The 23,142-nt window shown below is 40.4% G+C and overlaps 1 protein-coding gene across 19 annotated transcripts in view, besides 4 other annotated features; it reads left to right on the top strand.

Moving 5' to 3' along the window:
• Positions 4,039–4,288: a silencer, noted in NCBI's record as "silent region_18349". NCBI's record gives its function as "represses an Ori minimal core promoter by ATAC-STARR-seq in GM12878 lymphoblastoid cells {active_cell/tissue: GM12878}" and the evidence as "EXISTENCE:reporter gene assay evidence [ECO:0000049][PMID:35858748]".
• ABCB4 (ATP binding cassette subfamily B member 4) overlaps positions 4,068–23,142 on the top strand; it is a 110,132-nt gene continuing 91,057 nt past the window's right edge. For 10 of the 19 annotated variants that reach the window (XR_007060047.1, XR_007060046.1, XR_007060050.1 and 7 more), the window contains exons 1-4: positions 4,068–4,324; positions 4,624–4,709; positions 7,420–7,474; positions 17,187–17,337. Coding sequence is in view for 8 of the 19 variants with exons in the window: in XM_011516309.4 (XP_011514611.4) it covers positions 4,630–4,709; positions 7,420–7,474; positions 17,187–17,337 (286 nt within the window). In the remaining 11 variants the exon portion in view is untranslated. Of the gene's footprint in view, positions 4,325–4,414; positions 4,462–4,623; positions 4,710–7,419; positions 7,475–17,186; positions 17,338–23,142 lie in introns of those variants that run through there. The other 9 variants (XR_007060054.1, XR_007060052.1, XR_007060053.1 and 6 more) reach the window with 1 other exon arrangement.
• Positions 4,339–4,538: a silencer, noted in NCBI's record as "silent region_18348". NCBI's record gives its function as "represses an Ori minimal core promoter by ATAC-STARR-seq in GM12878 lymphoblastoid cells {active_cell/tissue: GM12878}" and the evidence as "EXISTENCE:reporter gene assay evidence [ECO:0000049][PMID:35858748]".
• Positions 4,549–4,688: a silencer, noted in NCBI's record as "silent region_18347". NCBI's record gives its function as "represses an Ori minimal core promoter by ATAC-STARR-seq in GM12878 lymphoblastoid cells {active_cell/tissue: GM12878}" and the evidence as "EXISTENCE:reporter gene assay evidence [ECO:0000049][PMID:35858748]".
• Positions 5,159–5,228: an enhancer, noted in NCBI's record as "active region_26232". NCBI's record gives its function as "activates an Ori minimal core promoter by ATAC-STARR-seq in GM12878 lymphoblastoid cells {active_cell/tissue: GM12878}" and the evidence as "EXISTENCE:reporter gene assay evidence [ECO:0000049][PMID:35858748]".

Raw genomic sequence — 23,142 nt, 5'->3', positions numbered from 1 at the left:
AGGGAATTTTAGGCTAGAAACAAAAAGTTAGAAATTATTCGATACAGATGGTATTTAAAGCTGTGTGACTGACTGACATGACAGAAGTGGCGAGAATAGACTGAGAAGTCCAAGGAATGAGCCTTGGACCACTCCAGTGTTAGGTAAGTAGTTGAAAAAAAGAGAGAGAGAGAAGGCATCAAAGGAGACTGAGGAAGAGTGATCAGGAAAGCATAGGAAAATCCGAGAAACATATGGTGTCCTGGAATCTATATGAAAAAGATATATTCAGAAAGACAGAGTGATAAATCTGTCAAATTATTGAATTTGTCAGGTAAAATAAGAACAGAGAATTGATCTTTGGACTTAGCAAAGCAGAGATTATCAGTGACTTTTATAAAAATAGTTTCGGTAGTGTGGAAAGATCAAACTTCTGTTTAGAGTGGGTTTCAGAGAGAACAACAGGAATTGAAGAAAGTAATAAACTTTGCCAACCAGTTTAGCTCCAAAGGAAAAGAGGGAAATATGATGGTAGCTGGCAGGGGAAGTGTGGTCAAGAGAGGTTTTTTGTTTGTTTTTCAAGATGGAAGAAATAACAGTATGTATGTAAGCTCACAGGAGGGATCCAGCAGGCATGGGGAAATTGATGATATAGGACAGAAAGGGAAGAATGGCTCCTTGTGAAAGTGAAAGGGGATGGGATCTACAGGATGAACATGCAAACAAAGACTGGCTGCAAAGAGAGGCATGAATAGTTCATTTACAGAAACAGCAAAGGCAGAGTGTTGGTACAGATGCTGGTAAGTGGAAAAATATCATGGTAGGAGGTTATGGAGTTCCATTCTAAACACTTCAACTTCATCAGTGAAATAAGCACGGTAATTTAGCAGAATGTGAAGATGTAAAAGAACAGAATTTGAGAAAACAGACGATATGAAATAATTATTAGAAAAGCAGGTGAGTGAATGAACTAAGAAAACATCTTATGACTATTGGTCAGTAAACGTTGGGATACATAGTGAATTTTACAAAATCTTTGCCCTCATAAGTCTTGCATCCCACAGAGTGGGCAATAAATAATAAACATAATAAGTACATTATGTATACAGTATAGGGCCATGTAAGTTCATGGCGAGGCAAGCCCGATGACTTTGTATTTTTCTTCAGACATGTTCTGCTGCATGGTGTAGGTTCACAGTAGCTCAGTAACTTGAATTATCCAGGATTGTGGTTTTACTAAGCAAGCCTGATAAAGAGAGAGGGCTAGAGGGTTGTGGGTGTTTTCAGGCTGAGTTAAGAGAGAAGACATGAAGGAGGTGAGGAACAGTAAAAAGGTGGTAAGATCAGTGGACTGAAGGATGCATTAAAGAATGACTGTGTTTAACTCTCTGATACATCTGACGTATGTTCTCCATCTCCACTTCCCTGCTAGTCATAGCGGATAAGGATACTCCCTGGATTCGAATTCTAGTTCCATCAGTTATAAGATATTGATTCTGTTTTACTTTGTCTGTCTCATTCCAAAACACATGTCTCTAATTACCATAGTTTGATAATGAGTTTTGATATTTATTTAGTAAGGCAAACCCATAAATAACTGATAATTTTTCAAGATAAAAGTGAAATAAATTTTCAGGAAAAAAAAGCTGAGAAAATTTGTCACAAACTAAAGAAAACAAGAAAGAGACAGTAGATGAAAGAGTGCTCATTAGGTGAAAGGAAAATGATCCAAGAGGGTAGCTTTGAGATGTAGGAAGAAACAAAAAGCAAGAAAATGATAAATGTTTTGATAAAGCTAAATAAGTATCAACTCATAAAGAAATAATATTCCCAGAAGAGTCATGAATATACAGAGAAAATTAAAGTACATGACAATGGCAATGTAAAAGTTAGGGGTGAATAAAAAAGAGACTTAAGAGTTCTAAAATCATTGCATTGTCCTGGAAGAGGAAAAAGTACAATGATTAGTCAAAGATACATGTCATAATCCCTAGAAAGGAGATCATTATTAAATAGAAAATAAAAGAATACATCTTATAGAAAGGAAATCTAAATGATAATATTAAACAGATCTAAAATAAGGCAAAAGTGAGGATAAAAAAGAAAGATGGAACCAATGGGGCAAATAGAAAAAGTAAGATAGCGTGGTAGGGCATTAATTCCAGCCTTACATCAATGCATAAGTATCTCAATATTCTACTGTAAAGGGAAAGTAAAGATTTCTTACAGCCTGAGTGTAATGGAGAAATCTAGTTTATCATAGTGCTTTAAATATTGTAAGTCTTCAACTTCTAGTTGATGAATAAATGATGGAATTCTCAGTGATACTGCACTGTTATCAAATAAATATAAAAGGAGCTCCTGGAATTGGATGTAATACAGGTAAAGAAGTAAACACAGCCATATAGGCATGGCTTCTTGCAGGGACAACTTTGTGAATCGGCTCAGACAGACAGACAGGCAAATACACCTCATTGCCTCATACATGTTATTTGCTTTAGTTTTTGTTCTGAACCTTCCTACTCCTTCAAGTATCTGCATTTACTTTATCAAATTCTCTTTTATTAGAGACTGAAGAAACTGTCATCTCCTTATGTGCTAATGAGTTTAATAATGTCCTCCAGTCACCACAAGCCTTCTTTCAAACTACACAATTCCAACTGCTTCCGTCTCAGAGTATCTTGAAATAATGATCTGACCGCCTGTTAGACCAGTGAAGGGAAGGAATTTGGGTTGATTTAAGAAGAGAATCCTCATGGTCATGGTAGACTGATATGGAGAGAAAACATTTTGAGGAAAAATACTCAACTAAATTCATTTCTACTCCAGCATGCAGTTTCAAGTCAAGTTCCACCTTAGCTCCAGGTGGCAGGCAGAGCAGGATGCAGAGGCACAGCACAAGTAAGGGGTGAGTGCCGAAGCTGCTGGCTCCTGTTCCAGTCTTTCTTCCTTGGCCTCGCCTGAACTTTTACTATAATAATAGTCACCATTTATTAGGTGTCTCCTACGTGCAGGACACTTTACACACAGTATCCCTAATCCTAATAACACCCTTATTTTATAGATCCAATGACTGAGTCAAGAATTACATAACCTGGCCAGACAGCTGGTACATGGGAAAGGTGAGATTCACACCAGGGTCCACCCAGCATCTCTACTTATACCATGCTCTGCTTTAAGGTTCTCTGAGAACTCAGACAAGCCTTGGGCTAACAATTGTGTTAACAGGACATAGCAGGTGCAAGGACCCACTGGTCATCCTGCTACCTGATCAGAAGGAAGGAAAGTTGTATTTGTTGCTCACCTACTATGTTTTAGGCATAGTACTAGGTGCTTTTACCTAGTACTTAATTCCCTTATCCTCAACTCATTTATTCCTCGCAATAACCTGATAAGGGAGATGTTTTTATCCTCATTTTACATATAAGGAAACAGGCCTAGAGAAATGAGCACAGTGTCCAAAGTCACATAGTTAATAAGATGTGAAGCTCTGAGTTTGAAAGTCTCCGGTTTCAAAGCCATGAAACTTATGGCTCCCCGTTTTAGACACTTCCTTTTGGGAAGAGTGTGGAGGAATTAATCAGAAAGAAGAAAGTCATACTCAAATAGGTGGTAGGAGCAGAGACAATTCAATACAGACAGAAGTCTTAGATGAGAGCAGTGAGCCAGGGCACTGGACTGGGACTCAGGAGGCTTCCCCTAGACTCTGGTTCCACCGATGCAGCCTCAGGCAGGACTTCACCTCTCTGGGCATCCGTTTCTTCATATGTTAAACATACGGGGTTTTAATTAGATGATCGCTGAAGACCCCTCTAGCCCTAAAACTCTGTGTCTCTTAAGTGCTAAGAGGGCACCAACAGCGTTCCTCCTCCCCAAGGAGCATAATGTGATGGTTCCTGCCGGCCCTGGCTGACTCTCGCCGTCCTTGGAGATAATTGGGTTCAGTGCCACCTGGACCAGAACTGGGGATGCGGAAGCAAGAGGCGAGTCTATTGCTCTCTCTCGGTCCTGGGCCGCCCTGTGATTGTTGGGCGTCCGGAAACTGTCTCCCCTATGGGTTTAAAAACAAAACTGAGCGCCCATGGGGTGTGACAGTCATCTGCAGGGGCTTGGGTGGCCCATCAGGCGAGGCTTTCTCGGCACCCGAGGCTCCAGCCTGATCTCGGTCTTATCCTGCGACCGGGCTGGTTCTGGCGGGTCGCCAGGGTGGGCGGCGGCCCCAGCCGGGCGCCCCGGCGGCAAGAGCGGCAGGCTGCGCCCCTGGCCCGCGCCTAGCCTGGGGAGAGAGCTGGGCGGGCGGCGGGAGCTGCTCTCGCGGGCCGCGGCCCTCGCCCTGGCTGCAACGGTAGGCGTTTCCCGGGCCGGACGCGCGTGGGGGGCGGGGGCGGGGGCGGGGGCGAGGCCGCGGCGAGCAAAGTCCAGGCCCCTCTGCTGCAGCGCCCGCGCGTCCAGAGGCCCTGCCAGACACGCGCGAGGTTCGAGGTGAGAGAGGTCCGGGCGCGTCTGGCCTCGAAGGGAGACCCGGGACGTGGGGCGCGGGGCGGGAGTGGCCGGACCTCCACCCAGTGCCCCCGGGCCCCGCGACTCGTGCGCCGGGCCGCCGGAGAGGGTGTACTTGGTTCTGAGGCTGTGGTTTCTCCTCAGGCTGAGATGGATCTTGAGGCGGCAAAGAACGGAACAGCCTGGCGCCCCACGAGCGCGGAGGGCGACTTTGAACTGGGCATCAGCAGGTACATCCCCAGCAGCCACTGGCTTTTCCGTTACACGCCAATCAGCAGGACTAAGTTCACCCTTGGAAAGAAGTTGTAAAAATCGGTTGATGCCTTTGAAGACCTTTGTTTTGGAGGCTTCTTTGAAGGGTCTTGCATCCGGTTCTGACCTTGGAGCAAACGTGTTGTGTGGCCTCAAAGAATGTCACTGAGGCTCCTTTTGGAACAGATTCAGGAAGAAAAGGCTGTCTTGAAAAGTGCTCCCTTCCCTTTGTGCAGGGGGGATTCAATGAATATCTGCATTGTATAACATTCATTGTATTACGTAACTCTTGAAACTTTTACAAATGACTTTCATATACATCATCTGATTGTTCAGACTTAAAGGGTGTCAGACATCTGCTGTTGATGGCTGTGCTTTTTGAACAAGGGCAGTGAAGCAAAAACTCCCTCCCCTCCTGCCCATCCCCTGTTATGTCTCTTCCTCCTTGTCTTACCCCTCCCCCTCCTCTCATCGCCAGGCTTATTTGTATTTCTCCTTTCTGGGAGGATAGGTGGGGAGGGGGAACTTCTGTACATCCGAATCAGTTTTGTTCAAGTGGTAGGGGGAAGCAGCGCTTCCTTTGCCTTCATGTCTTTCTCGGTTCCCCTGGCCCTTGTTAAACTCACTTCACAGGCTTTATGAGCGGGGCAGAAGTTCCCAGTCAATGGCGTGTGTCTTTGTTTCCTCTTTCACTGTGGGAATAGTGAATCATTTTCGCCTTTAGCCTGAAATAGTTTATGAGGCTATTACGGTCTCTGAGTTCATACCAGGCTACCCAGAAAAAATTGACCTGTGTCAAGTGATCACCCAGAGGGACAAATTTATCAGTCTCTGTAGTTTGTCCTCAAGCTGCTAGGGGCTTGATTAGCTAACTGAAAACATGCCTACCTGATGCTTAAACTGAAGCATTATTTTAGCCTGTTAATGTGGTTGTGCAGTAACCTTGCTGTATTTCTTCTAAGCACCATTGTATTTTTTCATAGAAAATTTAGTTTTGCCATGTAGAATTGAAAAAGTGATAGATGGTGTTACTTCCAATGGAAGTACTTACACACGCAATAGAAAAATATGGTTTTCATCAGCTGGCTGTTTAGGCAGGGATTGACTGTGAGTCTATTAATAGATGGCATTTTCATGAAGAAGTCTATTTATGTATTGCACTGGCTTAACATTTGATGCGTGTGCAAAGGAGCTATTCCTACAAAAGGTGTAGTAACACTTCAGAACCCAGGAAAGTCCTCAGAGGGGAAGCCCACAGCTTCTGCTGGAAAGAAGAAAGCAGCTCAAAAGAGAAATACAGAAAGTTAACAATAAGTTAAGACCACATGATTATGAAATCAAATGTAGTGAAACTAATTTTTATAAAAGCAGACCAAAGATAATATATTTAAAGGAAGTTAAGCCTGCTTCAATCAAATTAGTTATATTCTTGTTCTAATTATGTTGCTATTGCCCATGGCACATTCTTTTGAACATATTTAGTGGCAGATGTTTGTCCAGTGATTTTAGTCAATACTTTACATAATTTGGAATCATCTTATGAGTAAAACTTTATCATTTACCTGGATAAATGCATCATATTTATGTAAAAATCATCATATATATATAAATCATCATACACACACACACACACACACTCCCTCATAGAGTTTATATTATAGTACGGAGGACAGACATAAATAATGTACATACTAAATAAGTAAACCACAGCCAATGTTAGAAGGTAATTAACGCCATGGAAAAAAGCATTAATCCAGGTTAAGGGGATCAGGAGTACAAAAGGGGAGTACTTTGTAATTTTAAGTAGGGTGGTTAGGGTAGATCTTATTTTAAAGGTAATATTTGAGCAAAGACTTGAAAGAAATGAGAGGAGACAGCTGTGTGGGTATCTAAGGGGAGAGCATTCCCGGAAAAGGTAACTGGCAATGCAAAGACCCTGAGTCAGGTACATGTTTGGTGAGTTCATGGAACAGCAGAGAGTCCAGGCTGGTTGGAGCAGAGTAAGCAGGTTTGGGAGTAGGGATGTGGTCAGAGAGGAAATAAGCAAACAGATCGTGTAGGACCTCAGAGGTTAATGCAAGGATTTTGGCTTTTATTGTAAGAAAAAGGAAAGCCATTGTAGGTTTTTGAGCAAAGAAGTAGTGTATGGCTTGGCATTTTGAAATAATTACTCTGACTGCTAGTTGAAGATAGACTGAAGCGGCATAGGTGGAAGTGGAGAGACTAGGCAGGAGGCTGCCCTACTGGTGACAGCAATGAAACTGGTGATAAGTGGTTAAATTCTAGATGTACTTTGAATGTATCACCAACAAGATTGCCTGACACCACTCTCCACAATCCTTCAGAAGAATAGACATTCCTAATTTTAAATCATGATTTTTTTTAATTTTAGAAAACAAATAACTTAATTGACTTAGCGACACTGTTAGCATACTTATCTTTCCTGTGTATGTGAGCTCTGTAAGGCAGGCGACCATTTCTTATGTATCCATGTATCTTTGTAGTACCTTCGACAGTTACTTTTGTGCTTGCTATGTTTGTTGAACTGAATAATTTTGACATTTTGTGAACATCACTCTTATATTTGAAAATATAATAGTTGAATATTGTAACTAAACATATTTATGTTCAATTGATTGTAAAACATTTTGTAACAGTTTTAAATTGAAGCAATTCTATTTTTTACAGCAAACAAAAAAGGAAAAAAACGAAGACAGTGAAAATGATTGGAGTATTAACATTGGTAAGCTGTGAAATGTTAAATGTGAATAATCCTACCTTTTATTCAAATTTGAGGTATTGAATCAATTACCTTTAAAGCAAATACTTTAAGATTGTCTAGCTAGGCGAGCTGACTCATACTTGTAATCCCAGCACTTTGGGAGACTGAGGTGGGAGGGTTGCTTGAGCACAAGAGTTTGAGACCAGCCTGGACAACATAGTGAGATCTCATCTCTACAAAATAATAAAAATAAAAATCTTAAAAAATAGCATATGTCATGGCATGAACCTGTAGTCCCAGCTACTTGGGAGGCTGAGGCAGGAGGGTCTTAGGAGTCTGAGGCTGCAGTGAGTTATGATCACACCACTGCACTCCAGCCTGGGTGGCAGAGCAAGACCCTGTCTCAAAAACAACGACAACAAAAAACTGTCTGCAGACAGCAATAAATTGTCCTTGCTGCACCTGTGCTGTATAAGTTTGGCTTATTATAGTCAATGACCCACATTCTTAAGATGGATGATTTTTTAAAAAGTAGAGACAGGCTGGCGATGACACCGGACAGAGCTAACTGGTGTGCAAGGAAAGTGAAAATGGGAATTGTGTTAGTAGCACAATGCAAACTCAACAATTTCAAGAAAATGCATTTCTGCATTTGCTTCACAGACCCCCACCCCAAATTTAGCTTAAAATAAGCTTGCATTTCAAGAAAGTAATTGTTAAGTACATAAATTTTAATTTAAGGAATCTACATTCACATTTGGTTTCCAAAAAATTGGCTAAATAGGGGGTAACTATTAGGAATTCTGATTATGCTTAAAACAGTTTTCGGTGCTTTTCTGTTGGTACAAGACAAGACAATATTTTTGGAAGAAGTCTCCTCATCTGGTTTTCATTTGAAATATGTCTTACAGAGGCAGCTCAAGAAAGCATTTGCCCATTTTTGGTAAATATGACGTGTTTCAAACTGTGACAGCCATTATTTGGTAGCAAAGAAGTTAGAATTAAGTGTCATGTCAGCTGAAATCCAACTTAGTAATTAAATGGATAAAAAGACACCAAAACATCCACACTCTCAAACACTGCTGCATACTTCTCATGTAACCAAAAGCCCCTATTCATTGTCTTCTCTCCTCTTTTTTTATTTGTTTAAAAAGCCTCAGTAAGGGCAATTTAAAAAAAAATTAGCACTTTGGAGAATAAATTGTTTATCAAATGAAAGCTGGTTTTATTTATTTTTTTAGAAGTTTTTTTTTCTTTATTTTTTTAAATTTGTTTAAATTATACTTTAAGTTCTAGGGTACATGTGCATAACGTGCAGGTTTGTTACATATGTATACATGTGCCATGTTGGTGTGCTGCACCCATTAACTTGTCATTTACATTAGGTATATCTCCTAATGCTATCCCTCCCCCATCCCCCCACCCCACAATAGGCCCCGGTGTGTGATGTTCCCCTTCCTGTGTCCAAGTGTTCTCATTGTTCAGTTCCCACCTGTGAGTGAGAACATGAGGTGTTTGGTTTTTTGTCCTTGCGATAGTTTGCTGAGGATGGTTTCCAGCTTCATCCATGTCCCTACAAAGGACATGAACTCATCATTTTTTATGGCTGCATAGTATTCCATGGTGTATATGTGCCACATTTTCTTAATCCAGTCTATCATTGTTGGACATTTGGGTTGGTTCCAAGTCTTTGCTATTGTGAATAGTGCTGCAATAAACATACTTGTGCATGTGTCTGTATAGCAGCATGATTTATATTCCTTTGGGTATATACCTAGTAATGGGATGGCTGGGTCAAATGATATTTCTAGTTCTAGATCCTTGAGGAATCACCACACTGTCTTCCACAATGGTTGAACTAGTTTACAGTCCCACCAATAGTGTAAAAGTGTTCCTATTTCTCCACATCCTCTCCAGCACCTGTTGTTTCCTGACTTTTTAATGATTGCCATTCTAACTGGTGTGAGATGGTATCTCATTGTGGTTTTGATTTGCATTTCTCTGATGGCCAGTGATCATGAGCATTTTTTCATGTGTCTATTGGCTGCATAAATGTCTTCTTTTGAGGAGTGTCTGTTCATATCCTTCACCCACTTGTTGGTGGGGTTGTTTTTTTCTTGTAAATTTGTTTGAGTTCTTTGTAGATTCTGGATACTAGCCCTTTGTCAGATGAGTAGATTGCAAAAATTTTCTCCCATTCTGTAGGTTGCCAGTTCACTCTAATGATAGTTTCTTTTGCTGTGCAGAAGCTCTTTAGTTTAATTAGATCCCATTTTTGTCAATTTTGGCTTTTGTTGCCTTTGCTTTTGGTGTTTTAGACATGAACTCCTTGACCATGCCTATGTCCTGAATGGTATTGCCTAGGTTTTCTTCTAGGGTTTTTATGGTTTTAGGTCTAACATGTAAGTCTTTAATCCATCTTGAATTAATGTTTGTATAAGGTGTAAGGAAGGGATCCAGTTTCAGCTTTCTACATATGGCTAGCCAGTTTTCCCAGCACCATTTGTTAAATAGGGAATCCTTTTCCCATTTCTTGTTTTTGTCAGGTTTGTCAAAGATCAGATAGTTGTAGATGTATGGTATTATTTCTGAGGGCTCTGTTCTGTTCCATTGGTCTATATCTCTGTTTTGGTACCAGTACCATGCTGTTTTGGTTACTGTAGCCTTGTAGTATAGTTTGAAGTCAGGTAGCATGATGCCTCCAGCTTTGTTCTTTTAGCTTAGGATTGACTTGCCAATGCAGGCTCTTTTTTGGTTCCATATTAACTTTAAAGTAGTTTTTTCCAATTCTATGAAGAAAGTCATTGGTAGCTTGATGGGGATGGCATTGAATCTATAAATTACCTTGGGCAGTATGGCCATTTTCACGATATTGATTCTTCCTATCCATGAGCATGGAATGTTCTTCCATTTGTTTGTGTCCTCTTTTATTTCGTTGAGCAGTGGTTTGTAGTTCTCCTTGAAGAGGTCCTTCACATCCCTTGTAAGTTGGATTCCTAGGTATTTTATTCTCTTTGAAGCAATTGTGAATGGGAGTTCACTCATGATTTGGCTCTCTGTCTGTTATTGATGTATAAGAATGCTTGTGATTTTTGCACATTGATTTTGTATCCTGAGACTTTGCTGAAGTTGCTTATCAGCTTAAGGAGGCTTTGGGCTGAGACAATGGGGTTTTCTAGATATACAGTCATGTCATCTGCAAACAGGGACAGTTTTACTTCCTCTTTTCCTAATTGAATACCCTTTCTTTCTTTCTTCTGCCTGATTGCCCTGGCCAGAACTTCCAACACTATGTTGAATAGGAGTGGTGAGAGAGGGCATCCTGTCTTGTGCCAATTTTCAAAGGGAATGCTTCCAGTTTTTCCCATTCAGTATGATATTGGCTATGGGTTTGTCATAAATAGCTCTTATTATGTTTAGATACCTCCCATCAATACCTAATTTATTGAGAGTTTTTAGCATGAATGGCTGTTGAATTTTGTCAAAGGCCTTTTCTGCATCTATTGAGATAATAATGTGGTTTTTTTCTTTGGTTCTGTTTATATGCTGTATTACGTTTATTGATTTGTGTATGTTGAACCAGCCTTGCATCCCAGGGGTGAAGCCCACTTGATCATGGTGGATAAGCTTTTTGATGTGCTGCTGGATTCGGTTTGCCAGTATTTTATTTTATTTTATTTTATTTTATTTTATTTTATTTATTTATTTTTTGAGACGGAGTTGCGCTGTTTCGCCCAGGCCGGACTGTAGTGGCGCTATCTGGGCTCACTGCAAGCTGCGCCTCCCGGGTTCACGCCATTCTCCTGCCTCAGCCTCTCGAGTAGCTGAGACTACAGGTCCCCACCACCACGCCTGGCTAGTTTTTGTATTTTTAGTAGAGACAGGGTTTCACCATGTTAGCCAGGATGGTCTTGATCTCTTGACCTTGTGATCCGCCCGCCTCAGCCTCCCAAAGTGCTGCGATTATAGGCGTGAGCCACCGCGCCCACGGTTTGCCAGTATTTTATTGAGGATTTTTGCATTGATGTTCGTCAGGGATATTGGTCTAAAATTCTCTTTTTTTGTTGTGACTCTGCCAGGCTTTGGTATCAGGATGATGCTGGCCTCATAAAATGAGTTAGGGAGGATTCCCTCTTTTTCTATTGATTGGAATAGTTTCAGAAGGAATGGTACCAGTTCCTCCTTGTACCTCTGGTAGAATTCGGCTGTGATTCTGTCTGGTCCTGGACTTTTTTTGGTTGGTAAGCTATTAATTTCAGAGCCCGTTATTGGTCTATTCAGAGATTCAACTTCTTCCTGGTTTAGTCTTGGGAGGGTGTATGTGTTGAGGAATTTATCCATTTCTTCTAGATTTTCTAGTTTATTTATGTAGGGGTGTTTACAGTATTCTCTGATGGTAGTTTGTATTTCTGTGATATCAGTGGTGATATCCCCTTTATCATTTTTTATTGCGTCTATTTGATTCTTCTCTCTTTTCTTCTTTATTGGTCTTGCTAGCAGTCAATCAATTTTGTTGATCTTTTCAAAAAACCAGCTCCTGGATTCATTGACTTTTTGAAGGGTTTTTTATGTCTCTATCTCCTTCAGTTCTGCTCTGATCTTAGTTATTTCTTGCCTTCTGCTAGCTTTTGAATGTGTTTGCTCATGCTTCTCTAGTTCTTTTAATTGTGATGTTAGGGTGTCAATTTTACACCTTTCCTGCTTTCTCTTGTGGGCATTTAGTGCTATTAATTTCCCTCTACCCACTGCTTTAAATGTGTCCCAGAGATTCTGGTATGTTGTGTCTTTGTTCTCATTGGTTTCAAAGAACATCTTTATTTCTGCCTTCATTTCGTTATGTGCCCAGTAGTCGTTCAGGAGCAGGTTGTTCAGTTTCCATGTAGTTGAGCGGTTTTGAGTGAGTTTCTTAATCCTGAGTTCTAGTTTGATTGCACTGTGGTCTGAGACACAGTTTGTTATAATTTCTGTTCTTTTACATTTGCTGAGGAGTGCTTTACTTCCAACTACGTGGTCAATTTTGGAGTAAGTGCAGTGTGGTGCTGAGAAGAATGTATATTCTGTTGATTTGGGGTGGAGAGTTCTGTAGATGTCTATTAGGTCCACTTGGTGCAGAGCTGAGTTCAATTCCTGGATATCCTTGTTAACTTCTGTCTCGTTGATCTGTCTAATGCTGATAGTGGGGTCTTAAAGTCTCCCATTATTATTGTGTGGGAGTCTCTTTGTAGGTATCTAAGGACTTGCTTTATGAATCTTGGTGCTCCTGTATTGGGTGAATATATATATTTAGGATAGTTAGTTCTTCTTGTTGAATTGATCCGTTTACCATTATGTAATGGCCTTCTTTGTCTCTTTTGATCTTTGTTGGTTTAAATTCTGTTTTATCAGAGACTAGGATTGCAATCCCTGCCTTTTTTTGTTTTCCATTTGCTTGGTAGATCTTCCTCCATCCCTTTCTTTTGAGCCTATGTGTGTCTCTGCACGTGAGATGGGTTTCCTGAATACAGCACACTGATGGGTCTTGACTCTTTATCCAGTTTGCCAGTCTGTGTCTTTTAATTGGAGCATTTAGCCCATTTAAATTTAAGGTTAATATAGTTATGTGTGGATTTGATCCTGTCATTATGATTTTAGCTGGTTATTTTGCTCATTAGTTGATGCAGTTTCTTCCTAGCCTTGATGGTCTTTACAATTTGGTATGTTTTTGCAGTGACTGGTACTGGCTGTTCCTTTCCACGTTTAGTGCTTCCTTCAGGACCTCTTTTAGGGCAGGCCTGGTGGTAACAAAATCTCTCAGCATTTGCTTGTCTGTAAAGTATTTTATTTCTCCTTCGCTTATGAAGCTTAGTTTGGCTGGATGTGAAATTCTGGGTTGAAAATTCTTTTCTTTAAGAATGTTGAATATTGGCCCCCTCTCTCTTCTGGCTTGTAGAGTTTCTGCCGAGAGATCAGCTGTTAGTCTGATGGGCTTCCCTTTGTGGGTAACCTGACCTTTCTCTCTGCATGCTCTTAACATTTTTTCCTTCATTTCAACTTTGGCGAATCTGACAATTATGTTTCTTGGAGTTGCTGTTCTCGAGGAGTATCTTTGTGGTGTTCTCTGTATTTCCTGAATTTGAATGTTGGCCTGCCTTGCTAGATTGGGGAAGTTCTCCTGGATAATATCCTGCAGAGTGTTTTCCAACTTGGTTCCATTAATCCTGTCACTTTCAGGTACACCAATCACACATAGATTTGGTCTTTTCACATAGTCCCATATTTCTTGGAGGCTTTGCTTGTTTCTTTTTATTCTTTTTTCTCTAAACTCCTCTTCTTGTTTCATTTCATTCATTTGATCTTCAATCACTGATACCCTTTCTTCCACTTGATCGAATTGGCTACTGAAGCTTGTGCTTTCGTCACATAGTTCTTGTGCCATGGTTTTCAGCTCCATCAGGTCCTTTAAGGACTTCTCTGCATCGGTTATTCTAGTTAGCCATTCATCTATTCTTTTTTCTAGGTTTTTAACTTCTTTGCCATGGGTTCGAACTTCCGTCTTTAGCTCAGAGAAGTTTGATCATCTGTAGCCTTCTTCTCTCAACTCATCAAAGTCATTCTCCGTCCTGCTTTGTTCCATTGCTGGTGAGGAGCTGCATTCCTTTGGAGGAGGAGAGGCGCTCTGATTTTTAGAATTTTCAGTTTTTCTGTTCTGTTTTTTCCCCATCTTTGTGGTTTTATCTACCTTTGGTTTTTGATGATGGTGACGTACAGATGGGTTTTGGCGTGGATGTCCTTTCTGTTTGTTAGTTTTCCTTCTAACAGTCAGGACCCTCAGCCGCAGGTCTGTTGGAGTTTGCTGGAGGTCCACTCCAGACCCTGTTTTCCTGGGTATCAGCAGCGGAGGCTGCAGAACAGCGAATATTGATGAACAGCGAATGTTGCTGCCTGATTGTTCCTCTGGAAGTTTCGTCTCAGAGGGCTGCCCGGCCATGTGAGGTGTCAGTCTGCCCCTACTGGGTGGTGCCTCCCAGTTAGGCTACTCGGGGGTCAGGGACCCACTTGAGAAGGCAGTCTGTCCATTCTCAGATCTCAAATGCTGTGCTGGGAGAACCACTACTCTCTTGAAACCTGTCAGACAGGGACATTTAAGTCTGCAGAGGTTTCTGCTGCCTTTTGTTCAGCTATGCCCTACCCCTAGAGGCAGAGTCTACAGAGGCAGGCAGGTCTCTTTGAGCTGTGGTGGGCTCCACCCAGTTCCTGGCCGCTTTGTTTACCTACTCAAGAGCTTCCTGGCCGCTTTGTTTACCTACTCAAGTCTCAGCTATGGAGGGCACCCTTCCCCCAGCCTCGCTGCCACCTTGCAGATTGATTTCAGACTGCTGTGCTAGCAATGAGCGAGGCTTCGTGGGTGTGGGACCCTCTGAGCCAGGCGTGGGATGTAATCTCCTGATGTGCCGTTTGCTAAGACCATTGGAAAAGCGCAGTATTAGGGTGAGAGTGACCCGATTTTCCAGGTGCCGTCTGTCACAGCTTTGCTTGGCTAGGAAAGGGAATTCCCTGACCTCTTGTGCTTCTCGGGTGAGGGGATGCTTCCCCCTGCTTTGGCTCATGCTCGGTGCGCTGCACCTACTGTCCTGCACCCACTGTCCGACAAGCCGCAGTGAGATGAACCTGGGGCCTCAGTAGGAAATGCAGAAATCACCTGTTATCTGTGTCACTTGCACTGGGAGCTGTTGACTGGAGCTGTTCCTAATCAGCTATCTTGGAACCGCCTCTGAAAGCTGGTTTTAATGCATAGGTTTTAAATCTGCCTCCTACAGAAAATACAATCCTACAAACCTTAATGTAGGAACAGAAATTTTCATTTGAATTTAGAAGTTTTAGCTTAAGTTAAACTTAAATTTAATATTTATTTTCACCTCTTACTAGATATCTTAATAGATATTTTTTGTCCTGAAAGAGGTTGAGGATAAAACTGTGCTCTAACAGGAGTTAGAAATATATTATTTTCTGGAAAATCACTGAAAACAAACCTAGGTTTACTTAGGATGTTGCTGTGAAATTCACCTCGTTTTAAATTTATGCTTAGAGGCTGTAAAATTGTATTCAATTAATATGAAAACATTTAAAATGCTTTTTAATGTTAACAACCTGACCCTGTGCTTTTAACTATAGCTGACAGACTCAAGTGTTCTGTTTTCCTTTTCCCAGAACCACTAAAAATGAACCTTTGGGACACTGGTCCCTTTGTGACAATTTTAGGGACCCAGCTCCATTGGCTCTTGACTTTACCTGCTCCCATTGTTTTATCCAAGCTCTGCCTGGTTTCTGACCCTTTGTCTCTTTCGGTTCTCTTGCTTGCCCTGTGTGTTTGATGATGGAGTTTGTCCCTGTCCCTGAAACCTTGCCTGAACTCCTGGAAATCTTTGAGAATGGTGTACACACATATCCACTTTCCACCATGTGCCTCTAACCTCAGCCTCACCCGGGTTATTGACCCAGTCTGACCTAGCTTCAGCCCTCAAAGGCTCCACTGTGCCAAGCCTGGCTCATCACCCTCTCTCCCAATAACTGTTCTTTGTCCCCAAAAGGGGCTGAGGTGGGGGGAATGGGCAGAGTAAAGCATTTTAAAAGAGAGGAGAGAAAAAAAAGATAGGAAGCTATAGAAATGGAAATGTAAGATGAGGAAAATGTAGTCTAGAAGGCAGAGGAGGAAAGAAGAACAAAGAGAAAGAGAGCCATAAATGGGTCAATCAAAAACAGAAAGAAAAGGTGAGAAATGGAAGAGGACTAATAAGACAGTAACAAAGTCCTTTGAAGTGTTAGAACACTGAACTGCTGGTTAGTTCTTGAGGGTTGTGCACTTCACTGTGACAACTGGTATCACCCTTCCCCTCTGTAGGTAGTACTGTGTCCAAGATTCTTGGTGTGGCCCACCAGCGCAGGCCTTCTATCTCTCTCCAACATCCTCTCCCACACTTTGTACTGTGCCCTTCAGGAATTCCACTGCCAGGGGTTACTTAAGCATTCCATGTAGTTTCTAGTTACCTTCTTATTCTAAGCCTAAATTCTTCCTACTTCTTTTACACTCGCCGATTCTTCTCCAGCGAACTCCCTCTTACCCTTCAAGGTTCTGCATACTTGGCAGGTGACACTGGTGAAAACTAAATTTTTAAAAAAGGTTCTGCATAAGGATCTCCATAGGCAAGACTTCCCTAAGGTGCATATATAGACACACTGTAATGTTTATTGTGCTTCACTACTGAGTTGCCTTTTTAAAGCTAACTTAAACCTTCTAAAGGGATCTTATCTCAAAACTCAGAGCATCTATTTTCCTCTATTTTAAATTCTCCCTCTGAAATATTCTGAATGCTTTTTTAAAGGATGTGGTGTGTGTGTGTGTGTGTGTGTGTGTGTGTTTAAACTTAATGTCTTTCCCTAGCCGTTCTTTATTACCACAGGAGCTCTGGGATATCAAATAATATTTCTTAAACCTTTATCCCTTTTGATTGTATAGTAATTATTTATTCAAATCAGATACCAATTAAACATAATTAGATTGATTTCTTCACAGAATACAAAATAAACAGAATCATGAAATTAAGTTGTTAATGATTTGAAGGCCTCCTTTTCTAAGACATTCATTTACAACTCTTAAAAAAGTACTGACTTTAAATAAAAATCCAAAGAATATATAATTATGGAAGAGGAGAAATTCCATTCCACAGCTAAGTATTATTTTATTTCCTTTTTTTAGTTTCGATACTCCGATTGGCAGGATAAATTGTTTATGTCGCTGGGTACCATCATGGCCATAGCTCACGGATCAGGTCTCCCCCTCATGATGATAGTATTTGGAGAGATGACTGACAAATTTGTTGATACTGCAGGAAACTTCTCCTTTCCAGGTAAGCATTTCTTTACCTTTTAAAAAAATCCATAGCATTTCTTTAACTGGGTAAAAATTTGGGAGTTGATTTTGCTATTCATTACCATCTTATTTAATGATTTGGATATCTGGTTGACTCCAGATATCATAGAAGGAGTTGTAAAATTCTCAGAAAATTGTTCAAATACTCGTTTAAATTTAAAGAAATATGTGTATTGTTGTTTGACTTTTAATACAGGTGAAGGAAATACACAGGAAGCTTCTAAATAAAGTAAGGAAGTCACTCTACTTGAGAACAGTGGAAATGTAATGAGAGTATCTCTATGCAGTATCCATCCCATTAGTAATTGCTGATGAGTTTCAAAGCACATCAGTTAAACATGGCAGTACTTCTTAGCTGTGTTTAGCTTGTAGATCTGTTTCTGGGTTTTCTTTTCTTCTCTCCCCTTCACCTTAAAAAAAATTATACCCATTTTCTGTCTCTAATTTTGGATCAACCAGATTGACTGGAACTTGAGATGGCATTTCACTAAAGAGTGAATGGATTCAATACGTCCCTTGGAACTCACCCAAAGGACTATGATTACTGAAGAGCCAAGTGTCCCATAAGTTAATGTTATCAATACGAGAGGCCCTGACAATAGCATTACAGTGGGGCTCCAATAGACATGGTTATTTTCATAGTAACGAAATTCAACATAGAAAGGAAAATTTTCATGCTTTCTACCAAGCCTGAAGCCTCTTTTCTCTAAGAGACCTTGTGGGCACTGGGCTGGAGAAGACTGAGTGAAGCTTTACTGTTGCACAGATGGTAGAATATTTTCAAAACACTGGTAAAGGAAAGGCAGCTTTCTTAGCAAAGATATGTAAGAAAAATTACTCTATCATTTAGACAGCATTGAATAAGAATTTACAGTGTTCACTGACTGAGAACTACATATTTAGTTACTATTGTAGGCCTTACGTGTAATTTCCTAAGAGAATAGGATTGTTTAATTAATACAGCAGAATATGTTTACATAAATATTGATAAATATTAATGCCTTTTAAAAATCCAGTAAAAGCATCCTTTGAATATTTAAAGCAAACTCCTATAAAAGTTTATTTATTTATTCTCAAGTAATATAGTTTCTGAAAAAAACCTCTTTATAATAAAAATAACAATAATGGTGATTTTTCATTGTGCTTACTATGTGCTAGGTCCTATGCTGAGCACTTTACATACATTATTCCACTTTACCCTCACAAGAACAATACTACACAGTAGGTAATGTTATCTTCTGTGATAGATGGCAAAACCAAGGCTTGGAGAGGGCAAATAACTTTTCCATAGTTACACTGCTGGTCTTTCTGCCATCCAAACCATGCTTATTATCATATATAGTATAGTGTCAATATAGATGATTCGGAAAAAAAAGTGCTTGGGAAAGTTTTAAATGGATTGCTTATTTGTGACTAGTGACCAAAACTTTAACATAAACATTGTGAAGTTGTGGTAGGACAGATAGTTTAAAAAGTCTTTAAAGAGGCTGGGTGTTGGTGGTTCACACCTGTAATCCCAGCACTTTGGGAGGCCAAGGTGGTGGCAATTAAGTTTTGAGTTTGGGAGTTCGAGACCAGCCTGACCATTGTGGAGAAACCCCATCTCTACTAAAAATACAAAATTAGCCAGGCATGGTGGCTCATGCCTGTAATCCCAGCTACTCTGGAGGCTGAGGCAGAGGAATCGCTTGAACCCAGGGGGCGGAGGTTGCCATTGCACTACAGCCTGGGCAACAAGAGCAAAACTCCGTCTCAAGAAAAAAAAAGTCTTTAAAGAAATGGGAGAGGTAGGAATTTTCTATTGTGTATTTGTTTTCCTAGAAAATCTACAGATCTACAACATATTAATTTTGTATACATATAGAGCAGGATGATGCCCATATTAAGACACCTCAGTTAAAAATCTATTTCTTATGGAATACTACACACCTATAAAAAATACGAAATCACCAGCTACTTGGGAAGCTGAGGCTGGAGAGTTGCTTGAACCCAGGAGGTGGAGGTTGTAGTGAGCCGAGATGGTGCCACTGCACTCCAGCCTGGGCGACAGTGCAAGACCTTGTCTCAAAATAAATAAATAAATAAATAAATAAATAAATAAATAAATAAATACAAAATTGTGTCCTTTCCAGCAACATGGATACAGCTGGAGGCAATTATCCTAAGCAAATTAACACAAGAATAGAAAACCAAATACTGCATATTCTCACTTATAAGTGGGAGCTAAGCATTGGGTAACACATTGACATAAAGATGAGAACAATAGACACTGAGATCTACTAGAGAGGGGAGGGAGGGCAGCAAGTGTTGAAAAACCAAATACTAGGTATTATGCTCACTACCTGGGTGACAGGATCATTCATATCCCAAACCTCAGCATCACACAGTATCCCCATGTAACAGAACTGCACATATACCCCCTGAATCTAAAATAAAAATTGAAATTATTTTAAAAAGAAAAGAAAAAAGAAATGCAGACTCCCAGGCCACATCTGGACCCACTGAATTAGCAATGGTATTTTAGCAAGACATTTCCTTCCCCACAGTGAATCAGAGATGCATTTATGCACATTAATACTCAAGGGTCTATTAAATGGTCTGACCTTCCAGATGCGGAGCTGGGTTTCTCACCCATCCCTTTAGTAGCAGGACAATGACTGTATAGGAACTTACACCAGCTGCCTTTGATTTCCATCTTATTTCATCTGGAAAAAAAAAATCAAAGAAACTACAAAGACGTTTCTCCAACTCCTGAATTGTCAGCACCATATCTCCACTGCCCCTACTTTGAAATTATCTTTGGGTTTCACATTTCCTGATCTTCAAACCATAAAGCACCATTTATTAGAGCACCAATGGAATATTTTTGTGGAATAAGACCCAACTTTATCTGTTCATGTATGGTCTAGCACCTCTTTTCAAGTGTCGCAGATATTATCTCTTGGTGACTCACATTAGCCTTCCAGCGAAGCACTTATATGTCCATAAAATATCTGTGAAATAATGTAGAGAAACTGATGATTACTTCTAGGGAGAGAAAGTGAGTGGCTTTGAAAATGGGTGGGTGTGATGTCTCCCTGTATTCTCGCTTGTAACTGTTGACGTATACACCTTTACCAAGAAAAAATAAATTTAAAGTAAAAAAAAAATTTTAAATGGCTTCTACACAGGGTTAAAAAAATCAGATTAACAGATGAATGGAAAAATAAGATATGGTAGATACATACAATGGAATATTATTCAGCCTTTTGAAGGGAAATAACTTCTGACATATGCTATGTCATAGATGAACCTTGAGGACATGACGCTAAATGAAATGAGCCACTCAAAAAAAGATAAATACTGTTCGATTCTACTTTTATGAGGTATCTAGAGTAAAATTCATAAGAACGCAAGTGGAATGGTGGTTAATAGGGGTTGTGGGGAGGAGCAGTGGGGAGCTGTTGTTTAATGGGTATAGAATTTCAATTTTGCAAGTTGAAAAAGTTCTGGAGGTTGGCTGGACAACAGTGTGAATATACTTAACAGTACTGAACTGTACACTTAAAAATAGTTAACATGGTAAACTTTATGTAAGGTATTTTATCACAATTAAAATTTTTAAAGTCAGATTAAAGCAATGCAATTCACTTATCACACATCATTTCTCTTTTGGACCAATTTTATTAGTTCTGTTTTTGTTTTTACTAATACCAGAATAATTCCCAACTTTCTTATTTGGAGCAGTTTGCTTTTTTTTTTTTTTTTAACTTGTGCCTAATTATGAAACTGAATGGCTTTAAGCTGGACATGGCAGAGAGGTGCCAAATTCAAGGTCTCTCTGGGGAATGGCACAAGCAAGTCACTTACAGAACTGTGGTTGACACAGAGATAAACTCGCGAGAGTTGCCAACTTTGTTTTGGTAGCCTCCGAATTATAAACACTCCTGTTATGATGCTTGGTACCCTGTAGCCATGTTTCTCATTAGGCTTACTGGATGCTATGGAGTATTTAGATGGAAAGTTCCTCAAATGTTATGAATTTCCAGCATCCACTCTTTGGTCGTTTGTAAAAATAATATTCTCATACCTCTTAGAAGACAATGAAATCTTTAAAGGATACTCACTCTAAATCCAGACTGCTTATTGATGTGTTGAGAGTTGTAGAGTTTAACAAAAATCATGGGGGTTGGGAACAGATAGAGTGAGGTACTTAGCTGAGGTTCCAGCTTATCTCTTAGAGATGTTTACTTAGTCTATTCTTTAGAATTGTTGGATGCTTGGACAACCAGACTTAATAGGAGCCAAATGAGAAAGGCATGTTAGAAGAAAAAAAGGTTCATATTACAAGAGGGTCTGACAATGACTTATTGTGAGCAAAGCTCGTCCTTGTCAACAGAATAAAGCCACTCCATGACAGGGTTGTTCCCTCACAATGAGTCAGTTGTGCAGAAAGTATGCACACAACATTCTGCATCCAAAACATTAAGGACGGAGTTGGAGAAAACAGTTTTTCTGCAGAGTGTCAAGGACTTGATATCTTTTATGCTGTCTCTGTGACTATAATAGTCTAGAAAATTCTGCGGGAAAATAGCTGCACCCTGATTGTCCTTGCATTGCCTCTTGTTTGAGGGGAAAAATGCCATTTTGAGCCCCCAAGATATCTTCATAACTGTCCATAGTGCCTAGGGTGCCTGAACAAACACCAGCTCTTTATTTTATAATGAATAGTTCTATGTGTTAAAAGAAGTCCTAGGCAACATTTAAAAATAACTAAAAGTACATAATTGGATTGTTTGTAACACAAAGAAAGGAGAGATGCTTGAGGTGATGGATACCTCTCTTTCTTCCCCTTTGAAAAAAAAAGAAGTCTTGGGCAGAATCCGGGAAGGCAGACATTGATTTACTTTGAGACTCAAAAGTGAAAATGAAGACTATGTTTCCCTATCTAATCCTTAATGTATACACTGCTTATTCAGACCCTTCACCCATAAGCTGTGTGACCATGAGCAAGTCTCTTAACCTCTATAATCCTTACTGTTCTCATCTTTGAGAGGTAAGCATCAATTTACTGATAGAATTAAGTGAGATGATTTGTGTAAAGTGTCTGGAACATAGTAAATGATCAATAAATATTGGGACAAACTAGCTATAAGAACTTGGAAATGAAACAACCCACTCTGTCTCTTCATCTGTAAAATGGATAGGTTATATAGGTACTCTCTAAAATGAACAGGCAGCTTCAGGAGTTCCCCAGTTCCTTACTACGGGAGGCATTCAGGTGGACTGGGGTGTAAGTTCTCCATCCTGGCATATTAGAATCAACCAGGGTACTTTTTCTTTTTTGAGACAGGGTCTTGCTCTGTTGCCCAGGCTAGAGTGCAGTGAAGTGATCATAGCTCACTCCAGCCTTGAGCTCCTGGGCTCAAGTAATCCTCCTGCTTCAGTCTCCTGTGTAGCTGGGACTACAGGCACCTGCCACCATGCCCGGCCAACTTTTTGTAAAGGTGGATTTCACCACGTTGCCCAGGCTGGTCTCAAACTCCTGGCCTCAAGTGATCCTCCCGCCTCAGCCTCCCAAAGTGCTGTAATTATAGGTGTGAGCCACCGGGCCTGGCGGGGGGCACTTTATAAAAATGTGATGCTCTGGACTCAACCAGAGATTCTGGCTGCATTGGGCTTGAGTGGAGCCTGAACATCTGTAATTCTTAAGCTCCCCATGTAATTCTAATGCACAGACAGCGTTAAGTACCACCAAGCCAAATGACCATGTAGATATCGTTTATGAGACTGAAGCAGAATA

Source organism: Homo sapiens, chromosome 7, assembly GCF_000001405.40.
Source record: "Homo sapiens chromosome 7, GRCh38.p14 Primary Assembly".
In the NCBI taxonomy this organism is placed as follows: domain Eukaryota; kingdom Metazoa; phylum Chordata; class Mammalia; order Primates; family Hominidae; genus Homo; species Homo sapiens.
This window is presented reverse-complemented; position numbering and strand designations above follow the sequence as displayed.